Consider the following 21897-nt stretch of genomic DNA (forward strand, 5'->3'; position numbering starts at 1 on the left):
TCAGGTGATCCACCTGCCTTGGCCTCCCAAAGTGTTGGAATTACAGGTGTGAGCCACTATGCCCAACCAACTTTTGTTTAATACAGTCTTTCATAATACTATCTGGTCTGATGCTCACAACAGCTCTGGAAGCCAAATATTTGTTTCCCTGTTTTATAGGTTTATTATTTTCCTAGGCTGCTTTAAGGAATTACCATAAACCTGGTGACTTAAAACAACAGATGTATTCTCTTGTATTTCTGGAGGCTAGCATTCTGAAATCGGGGTGTGAGCAGGGCCATGCTGTCCTTCCTTGCTTCTTCTGGCTTCTCACCACTCCTGGCATTACTTGGCTTAGGCAGGATAACTCACATCTGTCTTTGTCTTCACATGGGCTTCTTCCTTCTGTGTCTCTGATCCCCTCTTTTCTCTTTTAAGGACACCAGTCATTGGATTTAGGACCCACCCTAAACCCAGGATGATCTCAACTTGAGATCCTTAATTACATTTGCAAGGACCCATTTCCAAATAAGGCCACATTCTGAGGCTCCTGCTGGACATATCTTTTGGGTGGCGTGGTGGGGTGGAACACCATTCTACCCATTGCAGTGGATAAGGAAAGCAAAGTTCAAACAGGGAAAATGACTCTTCCAACGTCATGCAGTGAGAAAGTAACAAGAGCTGGCATTTGAACCCAGGTCTTCTGCTTAACATATGCCTTTAATTGGGTAAAAACAAGACTCTTATGGTATAACTGCTGACTGTTATCTGGTTTGTAGAAAATGAAATTGGTAGCTTTTACCCTAGGATACCTCAAATATCAGACACCATTTTCTGGAAGTATACTATTGTTAACGACATTGAAACTATTAGTGCCAATGTGAACCCCTTAAATGGGCATCATTTATTTATTTTCTGTGTCATAAATGGGGAAATTAAGACCTAGAGGGATGATTCTGCTGAGAGAGAAAAAGAATTAAAAAAAAAAAAAGAAAAGACCCAGACGGAGTAGCAACTTGCCCAGAGTAACCAGAAAAGTTAATGGGAGAATTCCAGTTATGACTCAGATGTAATCTATGTTCTAAGCTTTAAAGTGTGCATTATGCAATTGCATATTTTGCAGTTGTGAAAATGGTCTCCTTGTCAAAATAACTGTGTTAGATTGCAAAGAAATTCTTAGTCCAATTGCCATTGAACTCCTTTTCCCTGGCTCAGGACCATGCGATATGATACACATAATATATAACATAATATAATATCTGATCTATATCTATATCTATCTCACTGTGGGAGAACGCTGGCTCATATAATTGGCCATCAGATGTGTCCACAGGTATAATATATAATATAGCTGTGGTATATATAATATATCTGTGGACACATCTGATGGCTAATTATATGAGCCAGGGTTCTCTAAGGAAACAACTAATAAAAGAGATATCTCCAGAGATGCATAGATATAAGAAGATTTATTTTGGGAATTGGAAATGGAGGTCAAGAAGTCCCACTGTCTGTTGTCTGAAGGTGAAGAACCAAGAAGGCTGGTGGTATATAACCAGGGGAGCTGATGGTGTAAGTCCCGGTCCAAGTTCAAAGGCCTGAGAACCAGGAGTACCAGTGTCCAAGGGCAGGAATTAGTGTCCTAACTCCGACAGAGAGAACAAATTTGCCTTTCCTCCACCTTTTTAATATATTTAGGCCCTCAGTTGAATGATGCCTGCCCACAATGGTGAGGGCAATCTTCTTTCCTCAGTCTACCAACTCGAATGCTAATCTCTCCCAGAAACACCCCCCAGACACACCCAGAAATAAGCCTTGCTGGCTATCTGGGCATCCCTTAGTCCAGTCAAGTTGATACATGAAATTGACCATTGCACCAAGAAGAGCTAATGTCCTCAGCCTGTGCTTATGGGAACCAACTTGTAGTGTGGAGAAAGGGGTGCTCCCCGCAGCAGCACTCTTAAGCTCCGTTTGGTGAGCAGTTTGGTAAGCTTGCCAAGGAGGCTCCCCTCTACACTGGTTCCCCTCATCATGCCTGGGATCATTTCTTAGTTATTGTAGACGTCATCATCACAACCTCTCACCAAGGAGGGCTTACATCTTGCAAAGCACTGCTTAATGCAGGTTTTGCTTTTGGTATCTGGCCTCCCTGGTGGTTAGAAATCTGATCAGCAGGCTCTCAGCAAAATCCAAACCTGGGCAGAACCTCATTAACGCAAAGCGGAGGCTGTGCCACAGTCTCTTAAATAGCTAGAGTGTGATTAGACACTATCAGCTTAGAGGAGCATCCTACCTGTCCCCCTCCACCTGCAGTCACTAGGCTTCCTTGCCTCTTTAACAATGGTGTACAAAGGCAAAGCACGTGTTCCCCCAGCCTCCCCAGGAGCTACCAGCTTGCCAGCTGTCACAGCATGCCTTTAATGGGTTTGTGAAACCCAAGAACCTGACCCATTTCTCCTCTGGGGAAAGAGTATAACACAGGATGCCAAGCTGGGAAGCAGGATTCGGGACACTCACCTGGATGAGACCAGCTCTCTCTGCCGTCCTAGACAGATTGTTTTGTTTTTTCCAATTTCCAGGATCTCCAAATCTAAAATAAGTGCACAGAAGGCAGTAGAGTAAAATTGTGACATTGTTTTCTGCTCACTTATCTTCTTCTTCCTTCCTCTCTTTTAATTTTAACTCCACTTTCTGCCTACTCTGACCCTAGATATTCAGGCTCTGGTACCCCACCCAAAGGGTGTTGACTGCAAACTGACTGTCAAATTTCATAAGTAGTCAATAAACGAACCTGTTTTGAGCAAGCATGATGTACAAAGTTCGGTGCCTATTTTCATTATGGAGGAATTCATGCCCTCGGGAGCTTCTAAACTAGTTAGAAAAGCAGTTCATGTGAACAGTGTAAGGCAGTACGGAAATAAGGCCACAGGAATGATCTAATTAACCTGGGGTCCACAGGTGGGTTTCAGAGGCATCCATAGATGCCCCAAAATTGCCCGCATAATTTTATGTATGCAAGCACACATTTTTTGAGTAAGTGCTTAGCTTTCATCAACTTCACCTGGAAAGATAGAGCACCTTTTATGCCGTTAGAGTTTGAGCAAGAGTAGTCTTTATACCTTCGGTAGTTGAGCAGGTAAGACTTGAACTCATTCTTAGAAAATAGTATTCAGGGCAGGAGGCAGCCCTGAAAGGCAAGAATCCCCAGGAGATAGCCTGCGAAGACTGTTGCACTTACAACCAGATGCCTCATGTCTCTGAAACTCAGTAAGATGGAAACCTATACAATGGTGATCATTGTTGCTTCCCATAGTTTGGTGAAGTCACATAAGCTCCTCTTTTTTTTTTTTTTTTTAACTCACTCTGAACCTTGTACAGTGCTCGACTCATATCATAGTGGACACTAACTAATATTTGATATATGTGTGAGTTAACTGAAATAGCAAATGTGAGAGGGCTTTGTAAATAGCAGAGCACTGCTTCAACAAAAGATGTCTGTTGCCAAGAGTGTGTATTTTGTCCTTTGCAAACAGCCTGCGCTAAGTGAGCGTCTTCTCCCTGCTTGAAACTGACCCTTTCCCCTGTAATGGGACTCAAAGGGCCAGCTCATCTGATGGAGTGTCCCTGGGCTGGTCAGATGAATGATAGCTGTGCTGTCAACATGGACAAGATGTGCAGTTTTCCAAGAGCCCAGAGATGACCTCACCCTCCAAGGGCTTGGCCTCTTCACCCCAGTGCCTGCTGAAACACACCTGCAGCCTTGCTCTCACTCTGGGACAGGGAGATTCCAGGAGCACCTTTGCTGTCCTCAGCAAAGAGGCTACGAGGTGTGGAAGGGAAAGAGACAGCGGGTATGGCAGAGCCTCTGATGGGACTCCTAGCAGGATAAGCAGGACCACTGATTGTATCCTCTCTATGACGTCTCAGGACGGTAGAAATGATCAGGTGCTTCTTTGCTGAACACTTCTGATATCTCCCATCTTCGCTCCTCAACTTCCTAGCTGTGCGCATGCGAAGAGAGAACAGACCCACTATCAAATTGTGTTTCTCCTGTGTGCCATCCCGTAAACATGGTGACTCATCGTCACCACCACCAAACTCCAAGCAACTCGGGCTGGTTGGGAGTGGGAAGGGTTTTTAAATGTCATTGGTTGAAGGTGACAGGAGTTCTCAAAATGGTAGGAAAGATAGAAGTGGTTTACACATATTGTGGTTCTTGGCCAGGCGCAGTGGCTCATGCCTGTAATTCCAGCACTTTGGGAGGCGAAGGTGGGTGGATCACTTGAGCACAGGAGTTTGAGACCAGCCTGGGCAACATGGTGAAACCCCATCTTGACAAAAAATTAGCTGGGCATGGTGGTGCACACCTGTAGTCCCAGCTACTCAGGAGGCTGAGGTGGAAGGATCTCTTCAGCCCAGGAGGCTGTGGCTGCAGTGAGCCGTGATTGCACCACTGCACTTTGGTCTGGGCAAAAGAGTGAGACCCCGTCTCAAAACAAAACAAAACAAAACAGTTCTCCACTGCAGGTGTTGCTGAGGGAAACAGTGTGTGAGCTGACAGAATGAGCTCCAAGCTAAGAATTAGAAACCCTTGTTCCAGATCTGTTGCTCAGAGACTTTGAACATGTCACGTAACTTCTCAGAGCTTCCAGTTTCACCACCATAAATGGGGGATAGTACCTCTACGACCTCTCAGGATCATTATGATAGTCAGAATTTATGATGATGCCCCAAGTGGTATAAAGGCATACATATTTGTCATTAAGAACATATACATGAACACACCTATTACATACAGAACACTCACTGTGTGTCAGGTCTTTTACATTTATCTACTGCAGTCCTCACAACAATCCTATGTGGTTGTATTGTTTTTCCATTTTTATGGATGAGGAATCAGAGACGCATGCCTGGAATCATACAGCTCACGTGTTAGTCTTTCTTGAAGTCCAGGCCTATTTCCATCCACCACTATGACACTAGCTCATGATTCTTTTCTCGTGCGTACTGTTACTTTATCCCTTAAAATATTACATATTCCTCTGGCCTTTACCATCTCTTATGGACTGGGCCCAACATCTTACCCTAACCTTTCTTGCTATAACATTGATTGATTGATTGACTGATTGAGTGATTGACTGAGAGTCTCACTCTGTCACCCAGGCTGGAGTGCAGTGGCTCAATCTCGGCTCACTGCAACCTCTGCCTCCCAGGTTCAAATGATTCTCCTGCCTCAGCCTCTCGAGTAGCTGGGATTGCAGGTGCCCGCCACCATGCCCAGCTAACTTTTGTATTTTTAGTCGAGATGGCGTTTCACCATGTTGTCCAGGCTGGTCTCAAACTCTTGGCCTCAAGTGATCTGCTCACCTTGGCCTCCCAAAGTGCTGGGATTACAGGCGTGAGCCACCGTGCCTGGCCCAATTTCTTTTGTTTGTTTTCTTCCTGCTTTGGCTTTTGATATTCCTCTTGGTCCCGCTGTCACCCCACCTGCCTTGACCTCTGAACACAGTAATGCAAACATTAACTGAGCTCCTTTCTAGAGACAGACCTCCTGCTCTTGTGAAGTGAGAAAACAAATGGTCATTCTCTTCCCAATTTTCCAGGCTCTGAAACATCTCTGTCCATAAGAAAGCTGAGTGTATAGCAGCCAGGTGCGGTGGCTCACACCTGGAATCCCAGCACTTTGGGAGGCCAAGACAGGTGGATCGTTTGAGATCAGAAGTTCAAGACCAGCCTGGCCTACATGGTGAAACCCCGTCTCTACTAAAAACACAAAAATTAGCCAGGCATGATGGCACATGCTTGTAGTCCCAGCTACTCGGGAGGCTGAGACACGAGAATCGCCTGGACCCAGGAGGCAGAGGTTGCCGTGAGCCAAGATCATACCACTGCACTCCATCCTGGGCGACAGAGTGAGACTGTCTCAAAAAAAAAAAAAAAAGTTGAGCCAACAGGGAGGAGGAGGGCCCACGTTTTCTTGTTATCATTAAGTCCTTGCGTCGCATGCAGACCCTTCAGAGAAACGATGATGCTTTAGCACTGTAGCACTAGATCTTGTCAAATAAGGTCTAGTGGGGGAAGTGCTGGAAGTGGGGACTTTGCTTAATCTCTTCACTCCTGTGAGACAGGGCAAAGGGTTATTCATTCTAGTTTAGAGATGGAAAAGGAGCTAGAAGGACTGGCTGTGCATCATGCAGTGAGTCGGCAGCAGAATCAGAAGCTTAGTGGATGTCAGCAGTCCTGTGTGTCCCTGGGGAGCTAGGCACCTGGGAGTTGTTGCCAAGGGTGGTTGAGTGTTGGCTCTGAGCTTGGCACTGCCAGTGCACAGCTCTAGCACAGTTCAGGCCTTGGGAGAATTATCTGACACCCAGCCGTGCACCCCCATTTTCCAGAGCCTAGCTTACCAGATCTACAGCCTGACCCTACTTGATGGAGAGGTGGCAGAGGGAGCTCCCCATTCTCAAGTCCTACCTGACAAGCTGATCCCAAGCAACCCACTCCTAAGGTGGGCCTCTTCTTGGGGAGATGCCCTTATAGATGCTGCCCATTCTCCCAGTGCCAGGAATCTTCCCTACAATTAGGTACGAGATAAATCAAAGCCAAACTTGGCTGACGAAATTCAGGAGCCAGTAGTGACCCTTGCCACACATATAAATCGCAGCAGGCTGGCCAAGGGCCTTTGTCTGGCCAGGAGAGTTCAGGATTATCTGGCCCTCTTTGCTGATGTATGGAGTCACCGGCTGTCGGAGTGTTTACTAACGGTTATCACCTCAATGCTGTGGCCATTATCAGAGGCAGGACCGCCTGCCGAGGCTGGGGCTCGCACCCTCTCTATTACCACCTGTCATTGGCAGGGAGTGTGTGCTGACACTGCCCAGCCCTCACTGCCTGGCGAAGATAGTTTCTGACGGCTGATCAAAGAGGAGAAGCAAGGCCTGATAAAGAGTGCGTGTTTCGTGTACTTTTAACTTTGGGAAACGTTGGCATTTGCATTTTTTCCCCATCTTCCCGATGCTGGCAGGAACCAAGCCCAATAAATGCAGTGGATTCAGTTACCTAATCGCTGGGGAAATGGTATGTGCTTAAAGCAACAGAGCGTGACTATAATCTCCTTCCGAGAGAGAGTGGATGAAATAAGCTTTCACAGAAGACTTGCTGTATAATAAAGTAGAATAATTCAAGTTCGGACTTTGAAGTGATCTCACATGTAAGATCTAATCTTAGCGTTCAGCAGAACACCACAGACGTTTTGGAATTGGGGAGCAGCTTTGGCTTAAGGACAGACCCTTGCCGAAGATGCTATCACCCACCTCCTTGCTGGTATCCCCCAAAGTAATTCCCTGGTTGTTCATATGCCCTTGGGTAGCTGGGAGACCAGGTAGTGAAGTAGAACGTGTTCTCAACTGAGGCATCAGGAGAGCGAGTTCTTGGACCTCGTCTGCCACAGACTTGCTCTTCCATCTTGGGCCATAACTTCTCTGAGCTCCAACTATAAAATGAGGAAGTTGGTTATAGGTTATAGAATATAATGGTTAAGAAAGCTTTAAAAACATTAGGCTATATAACCCCTTCTTTAAATGAAAATTTATTTATTTATTTATTTATTTATTTGTAGAGACAGGGTCTCGCGCTGTTGCCCAGGCTGGTCTCAAAGTCCTGGCCTCAAGCAATCTTCCCGCGTTGGCCTCTCAAAGTGTTGGGATTGCAGGTGTAAGGCACCACTCCCCGCCCTAAATGAAATTGTAGATGGAATCCCATTGTATCAAAAAGAGGAAAGTAGGGATCCGTTTGGGTTGAACCTGGGAAGGGGGTTGCCTTCCCCGTCCCACTTCTTAAGGTGGTCCCTGAAGACCAGGGGAACCCTGTAGCTCCTCAGAAACAGTTGTAAAACCACCAGCCTCAGTGTCACGGAAGTCACTCCAGAGGTCTGCACTCTCTCAGCGGCATGAGCTATTTCTCCTGCGCTACCCAGTCTGTTGGCGGCGTGCTTCCATCCTACAGGAAGGCTACAATGGACCCTGGGTATGGAGAGGAGCGGGTGGGAGGTAGACAAGAATGGCCTGCTCCCTGAAGGTGTGGACTCAACGTCAGATGTCCCGTGTGTGCCACAGGTACCTTTGACAGGAGCGTGACCCTGCTGGAGGTGTGCGGGAGCTGGCCTGAGGGCTTCGGGCTGCGGCACATGTCCTCCATGGAGCACACGGAGGAGGGCCTCCGGGAGCGACTTGCCGACGCCATGGCCGAGTCACCTAGCCGGGACGTCGTGGGATCCGGAACAGGTAAAGGTGTCATCAGACTTCTAGCCTGATTTGGTCAGGACCAGCACCTGTTGGTGCAGAGCTTCTCTGGAATCGTTTGTGGGCATATGTTTGTTTTTGCTGTTGGTTTCTTTAGTTAGCACTCCAGTGGCTATCCGTCTGAGGAGCTCTGGTGTTGGGAAACCCTGTGTAAAGGGGAGCTCCCAGTGGAACTGCCCCTCCCACGTGGAATACCACATGCAGGATTGCCATGATCAACACCACTGTGCAAGTGGCTCCCAGAAGGACACTTTCCTCCTTTGGGGGTGTCCCCACGTCTTCCAGCAGCGCTCAGGCACTGAGTCCTCAGGTTGTACCTCTTCAGACACGCTGGAGACTTAGAGATTGGCAAGTCTCAGTAGGGCCTGCCAACCTGAGCGGAGTAAGCATGAAGCAGGCTGGGCTGGTTTCAGCCCCTACCAGCTTTTCCTCATGCTGCCTTTGGCCTTGCATTCTTGCCTCTGAGCGAGTCCAGCAACTAGGGTCTGGGTGGCTTCCTGCATCCCAGAGCAATCAGAAGACATCCTTAAATGATGAGGGAGCCCTGGCCCAGGCAAGTGCATGTTCATGTGCGCACACACGCAAACACACACACACAACATGCACTCAGGAAAGCCACCAATCATCCATCTCCAGTACAGCTGTAATACAGCCTGCCTCTTCTTTCCAAAACCCTTCTTTGTTCTAGATAGCTGTGCTGTTAGTGACTGCCCTAGCCCTGCTTTTGTGCTGACAGAGGCTGCCCCAGCAGGCCTCTTCCCTCCTTTCAGAGGGAACTTTCTGTTGGGTGCAGCTGACTCTGGCTAGAGGCCTTTTCTCTCCTGCTTGCCTGAGTCCTCTCAAGACTCTGTCACTCTGCTGTGCACTGCTCCGTTCCCGTTCCACATGCCTCCCTGCAAAGAACCCCAGTAAGGAGAAACTTACAACAATGGGGCAGGCGCTGATCAGGACCAGCAAGATTCAGAGTCAGAGCACTGAGGCAGGGCTTGAAATGTCTGACATCATCACACAGTCCCACTTCCCCGTGGCTCCTCCAGATCTTTAGATGTTTAGGTTTATGGTCAGGCGTTTCCCTCATCCATCCCCATGCCGGTCCCTCCGTTCCTTCACTAAGACGTGTCATCTCCACAGCACTAGCTGTGTGGCCTGCCCGTGGTGCTCCTGTAATAACTGGCAAATGAACAGGATGGAAACGATAGGTGCAAGGGAGGAAGAGGGGGAGCTTGGCTACATGGGTAGCATGTCATCATGCCACTGTTCTCCCAGCTGGACCCAGAGATGAGAAGCATTTACCAGGGCTTGACTTCGCTTCCCCTGGAAGGGGGCCTAAGTGAGGAATGTGGCTTACGGCACAGGCTTTTGCCTGCATCTCTGGGGTCCCTAGCCAGCCTCGGCTCACATAAACCGGAGCCCGGTGCCACTGGACCCATCCCCGGCAGCCTCCCTCTTCCGAGGCCTGGAGGAGCTCCCGGGTGGCTCTTCTCTCCCACCGCCTTCTCAGGAGCCCCTTGGAGCATCTCACTGTCATCCGGCAAGAGGATTTGAAGGTGCATTGAGTCACAGCTGTGGAACTTCAGCCTGGCATAGTAACCTGCACAGCCCTGGCAGCAATGCATCTGCCAGACAGCTGAGGGATTCAGGAGAGGCTTTGTGGCCTTAAGCAGTTTCATGAAATTAAAAAGAATAAAAAAAGAGAAAGAAAAAAAGGTAGAGGAAATTAAAACTGCATGACCCACAGGTCAGAAAATAGGAGACTCCCTTTTTTTTTTTTTAGCAGAGGGATTTCATTGTCCTCCCCAAACTGTCACCAAAAGGAATTTAGTTGGTTTTCTCTGACCATATTCGATGTATGTTTTATTTTTAAGAAAAAACTTGTTCTTTTTTTGTTTTTTTTTAAGGCGGAGTCTTGCTCTGTCACCAGACTGGAGTGCTATGGCACAATCTTGGCTCACTACAACCTCCACCTCCCAGGTTCAAGCAATTCTCCTGCCTCAGCCTCCTGAGTAGCTATGATTACAGGCGCCCGCTACCACGCCCAGCTAATTTTTGCGTTTATGATAGAGACGGGGTTTCACCATGTTGGCCAGGCTGGTCTTGAACTCCTGACCTCGTGATCCGCCTGCCTCGGCCTCCCAGAGAGCTGGGATTACAGGCGTGAGCCACCATGCCCAGCCTAAAACTACTCCCATTTTAAAGGCCAGTAAGCAAAGCAGATGTTATGGAAGTTACCCAGTTTCCATGGCTGAGAATCACTTTTCACATTTTCCAACTAGAGGTAAAGCATCAGCCTGGTAGTGCAGCCCAGGACTTTGAAAGGGCACCCTGGTACACCCGTGCCCAGGTCAGCCTACTGCCCGGAGGTAGTTGGGGAAATACAGTGCAACGTGGGTAAGAATTTCCAGCAAGCCACTCTTTGCCTATAGCAACATCTCAGTCCCCCTCTTTCTTCCCACAACTCTACTTCTCTAGGTGGCTTATAGGACAAATGAGGTATCCCCAAGTGTTTGCCTCTGATAGGTCCTCTGATGCACCAGAGCTAAGTCAGTTCCCTTAATGCTTTGCAGCAGGCACCACATGTGACACAGCAATTGGGACCCATGGCCTCTTTATCAAAGTATGAATGAAGCACAGAGAGCAACTGAAAACTTGCTCTCATGATCCCTGACACAGAAGCCTATTCTATAGCACGCCTCACTGTTACATAGGTGTAGCCAGCCTTGATTTGTGGATTTCTGTAATGTAAAAACTCCTATTATGGCCAATTTCAACCTGTCACACAGTGTCAGCTAGCTAACAGAGGTTCTGGAGATGTAACAGTCTGTGCACTCCAGCACCTGGTTGGTAAGCTGTACCCTAGGGCAGGTCAGCTCCCCACAAAGTAAAGTGAAACCTTTTCAAACCTCACTATTCAGAGTGGTCTGGGGGTTGAAGGATAGCTTTGGTCAAAGGATACACAGTTTCAGTCAGATGAGAAGAATAAGTTCAAGAGATGTATTGTCCAGCATGGTGACTCTAGTTAATAACAATGTATTCTTGAAAATCACTCAGAGAGCAGATTTGAAGTGTTCTCGACACAAAAAATGTTAAGTATGTGAGGTAATGCATGTTAATTAGCTCGATTTAGCCATTCCAAATGTATACATATTTCAAAACACCATGTTGTACATGATAAATATATATAATTTTTATTTGTCAATTAAAAAATATATATTTTTTTAAAAGTGTGGTCTTCAGACCCACAGCAGCATCCGTAGCCAGGCGCCGGTGAGAAATGCAAAGCCTCAGGCCATGCCCAGCCCTGCTCAGCCGAGGTCTGCATTTCAGCAGGATCCCTGCGCATGCTGAAGTTTGAGAAGGTCAGTTTTAAATTATGGTTAACTTATAAGACAGATGGCAGTTCTTTGGTCCGTGATGGATGCCGACCAAATAGTTGAATTCAATCACCTATGTGATTTGCAAGTCCAGTTCTAAGACAACTGGCTGAACTGCCTTTTTGCTAATATCCTTCTGCCCCTTGCCCCGTCACCCTTCCATCTTTCCATTCGGCAAACTCCAATTCGAGCTCAATCCAACTCTGCTCTCACACCTGGGTTCCTGAAGAAAGAGCACTTATTATTCCAATTGGTGCCTCTACAGATCCATGGTCTCCACTCTCCACTGGAGCCTGCTCTGTGTTTTCCTCATAGCCCCGCCCCCATTCTCAGTTTGCACCCATCTTTTGCAGCAAAAGACAGTGCCTAGCGCAGTGTCTGCAATAGAGACGCAGAGACGATGAATTCTTACTCAGCCTCTGGCTACTTCTCAGTCCTTTTCTTCTGTCGTCCTTAGGCGTATTTCTCAAGGCCTTGTCTTGGCCCTGGTCTCTTCTCTCTCAGTACCTGGCAATCTCTGCTTCCGTGTCTCCAATTACTATCCATAAACTGATGATTTCCAAATAATTTCCAAGTTGGCTTTGTCTCCTGATCTCCAGAACCATCTATTCAGCTACCTATTGACATATCCACATGTCTACGAACTGAATTCCTCTCTTCGGGCCCTTTCCTTCTCTCGAGTTTCCCCATCCCGGTGTCCAAAGCCCTTTGAGACCAGCCACTGCCCTCGCTCCAGACTCATCTCTTGCTGCCCTGGGCCAGCTCCAGCCAAGCTAAACTCCCAGAGGGTCCCCGAGCATACGCAGTCTCTTGCCCGCGAGGCTTCTGTGCATACTTTTCCTTTTGCCTGGAATGCTGTCTCTCAAAGCCCCCTCCTCTCTCTGTTACCCCCCTCAAAATAACTTGACTAATTCCTGCTTAGCAGACATTCCTTTCAATATTGCCTTTTCTAGAAAAATAGAATTTTTAAAGTAAACAAAACATTGACTTATTCCAACTGTTTTGTGTCTAGGTAAAGATATAACTTAATACCAGTAAAAAAGCTTTTTAAATAAACACCTGTGTACATATTAAGTACATTTTCTCTTTCGACTTTAACTCTTTCAATAACTGTAGCTGCACCTTGTCTTTCTTTTTAGTGCTCTCACACATCTGATATCAAAAGCCCAGGCCTTATGCATGGGTCCAGATCCGTGTGTAAAGTATTCCTTTTTTTTTTTTTTCTGAGACGGAGTTTCGCTCTGTTGTCCAGGCTGGAGTGCAGTGGCATGATCTCGGCTCACTGCAACCTCCGTCTCTGGGTTCAAGCAATTCTCCTGCCTCAGCTTCCCGAGTAACTGGGACTCAGATACCCACCACCATGCCTGGCTAATTTTTGTATTTTTTAGTAGAGACAGGGTTTCACCGTGTTAGCCAGGCTGGTCTCGAACTCCTGGCCTGAAGTGATCTGTCCGCATCAGCCTCCCAAAGTGCTGGGATTACAGGCATGAACCATGGTGCCTGGCCCCTATTTAAAGTATTCTTGATGCATCTCTGTTGCAGGAAGTATCTGTTTGCTACTGTTAACATTTTTTTTTTCTCTGTCACCCAGACTGGAGTGCTGTGGCACGATCTCGGCTCACTGCAACCTCCACCTCATGGGTTCAAGCGATTCTCATGCCTCAGCCTCCTCTCCTCAGGCCCTTTCCTGAGTGGCCAGGACTATAGGCGTGTGCCAACATGCCCAGCTAATTTTTGTATTTTTAGTAGAGACGAGGTTTCACCATGTTGGCCAGGCTGGTCTCGAACTCCTGGCCTCAAGTGATCCCAAAGTGCTGGGATTACAGGCATGAACCACGATGCCCAGCCCCTGTTTAAAGTATTCTTGATGCATCTCTGTTGCAGGAAGTATCTGTTTGCTGCTGTTAACTTCTTCTTCTTCTTTGTTTTTTTTTTTTTTTTTTTTGCTCTGTCACCCAGACTGGAGTACAGTGGTGCGATCTCGGCTCACTGCAACCTCCACCTCATGGGTTCAAGCGAATCGCATGCCTCAGCCTCCTCTCCTGGGGCCCTTTCCTGAGCGACTAGGACTACAGGCGTGCGCCACCATGCCCAGCTAATTTTTGTATTTTTAGTAGAGACGGAGTTTCACCATGTTAGCCAGGCTGGTCTCAAACTCCTGGCCTCAAGTGATCTGCCCACCTCAGCCTCCCAAAGTGCTGGGATTACAGGCATGAACCGCAGTTCCTGGCCCCCATTTAAAGTATTCTTGATGCATCTCTGTTGCAGGAGTATCTGAGTATCTGTTTGCTGCTGTTAACTTCCTTTTTTTTTTTTTTTCTCTGTCACCCAGGCTGGAGTGCAGTGGCACGATCTCGGCTCACTGCAACCTCTGCCTCCAGGGTTCAAGCAATTCTCATGCCTCAGCCTCCCAAGTGGCTAGGACTACAGGCATATGCCACCACACTCGGCTAATTTTTGTATTTTTAGTAGAGACAGGGTTTCACCATGTTGGCCAGGCTGGTCTCAAACTCCTGACCTCAAGTGATCTGCCTGCCTCAGCTTCCCAAAGTGTTGGGATTACAGGCATGAGCCACTGCACCCGGCCTGCTGTTGACTCTTAAGTGCTCACAGAGTCAGCTCTCAGGGTCCGGGAGACTGTCTGTTCCCCGTGACTGTTCCTTCCTGCGGCCCCGGGCTCACTGATTCTTCTTTACAGTGACAGCATTAAAGATAGGAAAAGGCTTCATCTTTTCCTGCCTGCCGTCTCTTTAACAGTCTCTGCCCTAGCCAGAAGTAGTTATTCTTGGGGATAACATAGTGGGCTCAGTCTTTGCCTCTTACCTTCTGTCATATACATATTTTACTTCCTGACCTAGTTCACCCACATCTATAACCCTTCACAAAACAATATTACGGCCAGTGCATTCTAGTACTTCCTTTTCTTCTATTATTCTAAGAATTATCTTGTACTTTCTATTTTATTTCATTTTTTAAAAAATGCACTCGTGACCCACTAAAGTGATTTCACAATACATTGGTGAATGGCAATCTGCGCTTTGAAAATCAATGCTCTAGCTTGTTCACCTAAATCCTCTGAGTTTTCCCATTTATGTATTAATTACTCTGCAGAAAAGGCTTTAAGATTATGTTCAACTAAAGCTCTTCCAAAGATTTCTGTCAGAAGCTACTTTTATGTACTGAAAGGGCTGCGCCTTTCTTTTTCTCTTGTTAACATAAAAAGAACACTTTGAACATTAGGCAGTTTTTAAGTGATCACGGGATGGTTTCAGCAAGTTAATAACAAATATTTGTTGATTGCTATGTTTTGCAAAAGATGACCTAAAAGCACTATTTGTGTGTGTGTGTGTGTGTGTGTGTGTGTGTGTGTGTACTAATAAAGTCTTTCATTTTAAGACTGTAAAAAGTAAGCTCCCAACAAATATGAGCTGTTTTTACTGGAGTCAATCAGATATGTACCAAATAACTAATCCAAATATCTCAGTGTATTGGACCCCTCTCCTGCCTCTAGAATCAGCTCTTCCAAAGGGCCTTGGAACTCCTGCCTGGGTCAGTATGGAGGGCTGGGAACTTTTTCAATCTAAGGCTACATTTCCAATAGGGATCATATTAGCCCCATCCCATACCAGGTTGCCACATGATCAGATGACAATAATTGTAGGCACCAGTACCATGTGTTAATTATCTTTTTTTTTTTTTTTTTTGAGATGGAGTCTCACTCTGTCACCCAGACTAGAGTGCAATGGCACAATCTCAGCTCACTGCAGCCTCCACCTCCCATCATGTTCCAGCGATTCTCCTGCCTCAGCCTCCTGGGTAGCGTGGATTACAGGCATGCGCCACCATGCCCAGCTAATTTTTGAATTTTTAGTAGAGACAGGGTTTCACCATGTTGGCCAGGCTGATCTCAGACTCCTGACCTCAGGTGATCCACCCACCTCGGCCTCCCAAAGTGCTGGGATTACATGCATGAGCCACCACACCGGGCCAATTATCTTTTAGCCATCCCTACTCTCTGGTCAGTCTCATTTTAAAAGCAGATAATTGATTTATCAGTATTCGCTACAGAAAGTAGTTGACCACATTTGACTTTGCAGACATTTCAGAAGATGTGGTGGTGGTTAGAATTTTCTGCATCCCACATATTTTTAAAATCTGCAATTTAGAGAGAACTTTATCCAGTCCAGCCCTAGGGGTAGATAGATGCATCCTACTGGCCCAACTCATTGCAAGGCCATGGAAATAGGAACTGACAGTGTTGCCCCAGAAAGCTGGAGAAGTGACATTTACATGTGTTATGTGGGCCTCTCAGGTCCCTTTCCCAAACCTGAGATTCTCTGATTCTAAGTGAAAGGTGAGCCTCCTTTATGGGTCCTGGGTTAGCCACACTGTTCCTGTCCTAAGCAAACCCGGAGGTTGTGTGAGCTGAAGATGCTGCCTTCACAGGGCCATCGTGGCTCATAGCCCCATAGGTCACATTCCCTGCTTCCCTACCACACACAACCACCAAGCTGCTTTGATCTTTCCAGAGAATCTTCTCTCCTCTTCCTACAGCCACTCTATCAGGCAAACTGGTATTTACCCCAGATACCCAGGAAGGGTTAGTCTTTCGGCCTCCTGAAAGTAGGAATCGCTCTCCTCTCCAGGATCCCCAGTGTGGCCGCCCATGAGACCCAGTCTTGTCTTTTAATTTTTTCCTCCAAGCCTTACCTCTCCAACTTCCTGGGTCCCCTTCTCAAGATGCACAAGGGTGATTCATCTGTGCAAGCCATAGCTTCTGGCTTGGTCTGGCTCTCTTGCCAAAGTCTCTAGGCTTCTCTGGGTAATATCTCTGATTGCCCAGTGCTCCTAAAATTGCACCTGTCTCAGCAAATGCTATCACCCAAGCAACTTAGCCAGAACCTAGGGCTTTTCCTCTGCCTTATCTAATTGGGCCCTGGAGTTTTCCTCCTTCTACAGCATCTACAAAAGTTCTCTCAGTGTCTTCTCTTAATGACCTCATCAGTGGCCCAACGTGTTCTTTCTGTGGTTGGGGCAGGCAGGGTCTCCATCGGTATCTGCCAGTTTCTTCCCCAATAGGCTGGAGAAAAATAAGAGAGACAAGTTTCCTACCCTCAAAGAGATTAAAGCCCCAGAGGAGGCCACAATACTGAACGGTGGGTCTGTTTCTCTCTGACTTCTACCCCCAGCTTCCCGCTGGGCCTCCCTAGCTGAGCTGGACCAAGTGGAAGTCAGGAGTGCTCCCCTGCCCACAGGGCATGGTCTTTCTAGGATGCGGAGGCAAAGCTGGAACTCCCCAGTGCCTAATGCCCTGATTGCTGAGGGTGAGAGAAGAAAGTGTCCCCAGAGGCACAGGGCCACCAGATAGAGAGCCCAGTCCCACCAGCAGGTCACAAGCATCCCTACTCGGGACAAGAGGGAGCAGCTGCGCCAGCGAGACTGTGGGACAGCCGGTGGCCTCGGCAGGGGTGGTGTTGTTGGTGTTGCTATTTGTGTCTCGGTTCAGTGTCGGATTGCCTATTCCTAGCTATTTTCCACTGGCAGGAGAGGCCAAATCTGAGAGTCCTTTCAGTTCCCAGCACCAAGCTCCCGCTATTGGGAAGAATGTGGTGTTTTTTTCCCCTTTTCGATGGGATTTGAAGCCCTCATCAAGCAATGGGGTAAACCTGTGACCCTGGGCAAGTGCCTTTCCCTCTCTGGGCCAGTTTCTTCCTCTGTGACACAGTGTGGGGAGGAGGAGCTAGTAAATGTAGTAATCGTTGGCCTCCTGTAACTCTGATGTCCTGGCTGCTGCAGGGAGCACTCGGTCTCTCTCTTTTACTCCTCTCCACGATAGCAGTGGCCACACCTCCCGTGGGACTTGTACGCCTAAGACTCTGCCTGCCACATAAATGTCCTCTAATTGTCAGAGCACTGCCAGGTAGACCTTCCCCTCTCCAGTTTACAAAGGAGGAAACGAAAGATTTGAAGTGAGAGTATAACTAAAAGATGTGGGATTAAAATAAGAAATTTGGGAAGAGGTTCCAGTTATTAAGATCCTGCCGGTCTCCCATGGTCTGAAGGGTTGGAGTTTTATCAGTTATTCTCACCTTTTATTCAGAATAAGTAGGGATCCAGCAGAGGAAGGGGACTGTCACTAGCAGGGCCTGCCTTGACTGCCGTTGCACTTCCCTGCTCAGAAAGTGTCCAGGCCTGCACATTGCACCCAGGCTCCTTGCCATCATGTTTCTGTCTCTTACAGGCCTTCCCCACCTTCCCTTCCAGCCTGACCTCCCACCCCTTCTGCAGTAACCTCTGCATATTTCACCTCCTCCACCTTCTTGCCAATATAGGATCCCAGCATCCCCAGCATGCACCCTGTTACCTGGCCCTGGTGCATGTTGGTCACCCCTCAGGACCGCTGCCCTCCCATCCTGCCCAGTCGTCGTCTTAGGCCAAGCTCAAATCTCACCTCCTCTGTGTTGCTTTCCCTGACCATGAAGCCAAATGTGTGCAACTCTCTCTGTCTCTGAATTTCTGCACCACCGACTTGCTGGATACTTGGCCCTGGGCAAAGAGTGTATGCTGCCTTTTCCATTAACTTGCTCACCAATTCCCTTCGTTTTGCCATTGGAAAAGGGCCGGCCCTGGTGGTCCCTTCAGCCCCTCCCTCACCCATACTCCCACGAGTGTCTTGACCCACTACTGGTTCTTTGAACTGAGTCTGAACCATCTTTGTTATCCCCAACCACCAGCCTTCTCCCTGCCCAGCAACCAGCACTGGAAGGAGAGCCAGGCTGAGCCTCAGTTAATGTTTGTTGAGTGACTGGATGGGTTTCTGTGGCCCCTGAGAGGTAAATGAAAGCCAGTCAAAGCAATGGGAATAGTTATTGATTAAAAGTCACACTTGTTAATTTCTGGCCAGGTCTCAAATCTGATTCTGGGTAGATCATTTCCCCCACCCCACCTTCGTCACTAAGGCTACTGGAAGCCCCGCCAGGGGCAGAGCTGTAATGGGAGTTTGGGCTGAGACTCTCCTCTGCATATTTCTTAGTTGTCTAAAGTGACTTTTCAACTCTTTCACCAAGGCACAGTGATTCCTATCAACAAGGAGGAAGTGCCAGTGCGACCTCTGTGACCCTTCAGAGTCCCCTCTCCAGGTGCTGCCCCAACATGAAAGCAGGAATTACTGTGGATAGGCACAGGCTTGGACTGAGGGGCTGGGGGAGGGCTGTTGGACCCCCAGAGCCAGGCTCTCCTCTGGAAGCATCAACATAGGTAAATGGTTAACAAAAGGGAGGATTTCTCCCTGTTCCTCCTCCTCTGCCACAGTATTGACTGTTAACCACTGACCTTTCTGTGAGGCGTGAGATTCTGAACAAAGTTGAACGCGGTCATGGATGGTTAAATTCCCACCTTTCCCTTCTGCCCTTGCCTCTGCCCCTCTGCCTTCTCGAAACATGGCCCGAGATGTGGAGGCCACCCCCTGGATGTGGTGGCTGCTGAGAGAGGGAGACACACTTGCTCACAGAAAATGAAAGTTGGCAATGACCCTCTGACCCTTTAGGAATCCAGAATCTTGGCTCCTAGAAGCCATAGAGCACTGTACCAAGAAGGCCAAGCCAAGCCCATCCGATTGAACTTAACGGAGAAGTGAAGTTCCCTAGTAGAAGAAGGCATTTTGGAGCCCATCCCGGAAACAGCTTTCCAGCCTTGGCCTTTTACTTATTTCTTCCTGCCCACTCCTCCTCCCACGTCACCCCTGCCCCCGGGGACCTGCCGGCCCACTGCATAAGACATTTTTTAATTTGCTGGCAAAATCCCCCAGCACCAGGCTTCGCAGCCCTCCCCTGTTACCCACATATGTTTTATGGGGTGTAGCCCGCTAGCTTGCAGTTCCACCCCTCTGCACCCTTCATTGAGTTTTGGGAGAAGCGCCATCCAGTCGTGTCATTTGTTCAGGATGACTTTTCCATTCCACGCCCGCTGTGTTCGTTTTCCTGGAATGTTCCCATCATCTCCCAGCTCCAGTTGGCCAGGGCCAGCGTGCCATCTCCATGCTGGTGTGTGTGACTGTTTGGTGCTGACCCGAGGGGTGGGTTGGTGGAGTACGAGCCTGGGCTGGGGCCTTATAAGGCCTGGAGTTTCTCGGTTTCATGCGTTATCCATCCCCGACCACTGAGAGCTGAGTAGGATCCTGTGGTTAGTGCCCTTGAGCTGGTCTTTGTGACCTTTCTCTAAGCAGCCCAACCACACACTGCCATGCAGCTTTGAACTTCAGACCTGGTTTCTAAATCCACGGAAGCTGAGAGGAGGAAGAAAATCTGAGGGGTTACCCAGGATGCCGGCTTTCTCTCTACATCATTCCCTACCCCAGCCCTGTGCAGCAGGCAGGAGTGTAGGAACTCAGGCAGCTGGACTGGGGAGGAGGGAGAGAGGGAAGGATGATACCAGTTTAGGCTAGTGAGAAATCTGTAAAACCCTAGATGTGCTGTGCCTGGGAACAGACCATGAACACCCCCGCAAAGCTCTCAGTGGTCAAACCAGATTTGGGTATCGACTCACTTTGATCTCAGCTCTTCCTGCTCTCTTAAAGGTCCAGTTTGTGATCCGCTTTAAAGGAATATTTTATTTTCAATACAGACACAGCCCTTGACGTAGCAGTAAAAACCTTCCCCCCTGAGAGACACGTGGCAGTGAAGTGTTTTGGTATGTAACGTCCTATCTTTGCCTATGTGGAAGGGGTTGTCCCGTTGCTTCTTTTGTCCCTCAAGAGGGTGCCCTCCTACCCCCTCGTGCCCAGGCCCAGGAGCACTCTAGGGAGGGCAGGGGTCAGCTCAGATGGGAGGTCTCTTCTGGAAGGGGACTGGTTTGGGATGGGGAGTGGTTGTCATCCTTCACCCAACAAGAGTTTCTTTGAGAACGCCACTCCCTGCCCCCCACTTTGAAGATGGAAGTGAAATTTTCGGACTCTGCTGTGCAGAGCAGGGAGGTCACTAGGCTCTAATGCATTTACCATTGACTGCCCCTCTTGTAGTGCGTCTATTAGTGAGTAATTTGATTTGTACCTATTCATTTGCAGTCCCTGCAGGAGCCTGGAGCTGGCCCCTAGTATAATTGGTGCTGTCTCTATTTTTACATCATTAGATTAGCCCCGACTCCTGGCCACTTGTTGTCTGCGCTTGTCTGTCCATTTATACAACCTAATGTAACACAAAATTCATTACTGATCACATTACTTTCAACTCTGAAGCCAGCCTTGTGATAAACATTTGGTTAACCCCTTCCTACCCACGGGAGGACTGACAGAACAAATGCACTTCCACCCGACAGGCAAATCGATATCTTAATACACCAAAGTGGAATTGCATTTCTAGATTTGTTATTCCTCCTGGAGGAGCAAATGGAAAGGCTCGCCTGAGCCAGCTGAATTGAATAATGAATAGAGCCCCGGCACCAGCAGCCAGTCTGTGAGCACCGCACAAAGGCAGACCGGCATCAGCCAGGCCGTTTCCATCTGGACGGGCGGCGGCACCACCACAATTAGCTGAGACTGTGATCCTTTCCCAGCCGCGGCGTGTGGGCTTGAGACACAGGCTGGGACCCCAAAGAGGGCAACAGAGGCCGTGCCCCAACACCATTCCTTTGGCTAGGCTTGGCCTAGAACACTAGACCAAGAACTGGGTTATTTAACTTCAAACCTTGTTCACTGATGTCAAGGCTACCAGACGCTAAATGCCACCGAGAAGTTAAATCTATTACTAAACTCAGGTTTACCATCTGGAAACCGAAAAAGCTCTTCCTGTTTAGAGCCAGGTCAGTGACATTGGGATTGGTTGGTTCACACCAACTTGCGTGTGTGTGCCTGTCCCCAGGGCCAGCATTCTTCAGCACGCAGATGCCATGTGTGCCTGTATGTGGTTCTGGTTCTCTGGTAGGGTTGCTGTGAGCAGCATGTGGGACTCTAACACAGGAGCTGGCCAGGAGTCTTAAAGGGACCTCAACCTCAGCACAGCATTATTAATCTAGAAAATTCTCTCCTATCCCCAACTGGTCATCCTCTCCCCAACCTTCATTGGTCTCTGGGTAGCAGCCACAGCCGCAATAAGTCATTAACTTTCAGGACAGCTTGTTTCAAAATGAAAAATACCCCCACTTATTAAGAAACTCTCATAAAGCCTGGGGCCGGGCGCGGTGGCTCACGCTTATAATCCCAGGACTTTGAGAGGCTAAGGAGGGTGGATCACCTGAGGTCAGGAGTTTGAGACCAG

The 21897-nt window shown here is 48.2% G+C and overlaps 1 protein-coding gene and 1 long non-coding RNA gene across 9 annotated transcripts in view, besides 1 other annotated feature; one reads left to right on the plus strand and one right to left on the minus strand.

The window, feature by feature from the left end:
* The window catches only part of BCAS3 (BCAS3 microtubule associated cell migration factor), a 714981-nt gene that overhangs the window by 682386 nt on the left and 10698 nt on the right, over window positions 1-21897 (plus strand). For 5 of the 8 annotated variants that reach the window (NM_001353144.2, NM_001353145.2, NM_001353146.2 and 2 more), the window contains one exon: window positions 8091-8258. In NM_001353144.2, the coding sequence (NP_001340073.1) occupies window positions 8091-8258 (168 nt within the window). Of the gene's footprint in view, window positions 1-8090; window positions 8259-20269; window positions 20336-21897 lie in introns of all 8 variants that reach the window. The other 3 variants (NM_001330413.2, NM_001320470.3, NM_001330414.2) reach the window with 1 other exon arrangement.
* On the minus strand, window positions 1432-7468 carry LOC101927855 (uncharacterized). The gene is made up of 3 exons (NR_136397.1): window positions 7290-7468; window positions 2497-2569; window positions 1432-1621 (listed from the first exon to the last, which is right to left on the minus strand). It is a non-coding gene; the product is annotated as an uncharacterized LOC101927855 (long non-coding RNA).
* Window positions 19640-20140: an enhancer, noted in NCBI's record as "H3K4me1 hESC enhancer chr17:59457237-59457737 (GRCh37/hg19 assembly coordinates)". NCBI's record gives its function as "activates a minimal SCP1, AML or CMV promoter by ChIP-STARR-seq in naive H9 embryonic stem cells {active_cell/tissue: H9 hESC(naive)}" and the evidence as "EXISTENCE:reporter gene assay evidence [ECO:0000049][PMID:30033119]".

Source organism: Homo sapiens, chromosome 17 (assembly GCF_000001405.40).
Source record: "Homo sapiens chromosome 17, GRCh38.p14 Primary Assembly".
Classification (NCBI taxonomy): Eukaryota; Metazoa; Chordata; class Mammalia; order Primates; family Hominidae; genus Homo; species Homo sapiens.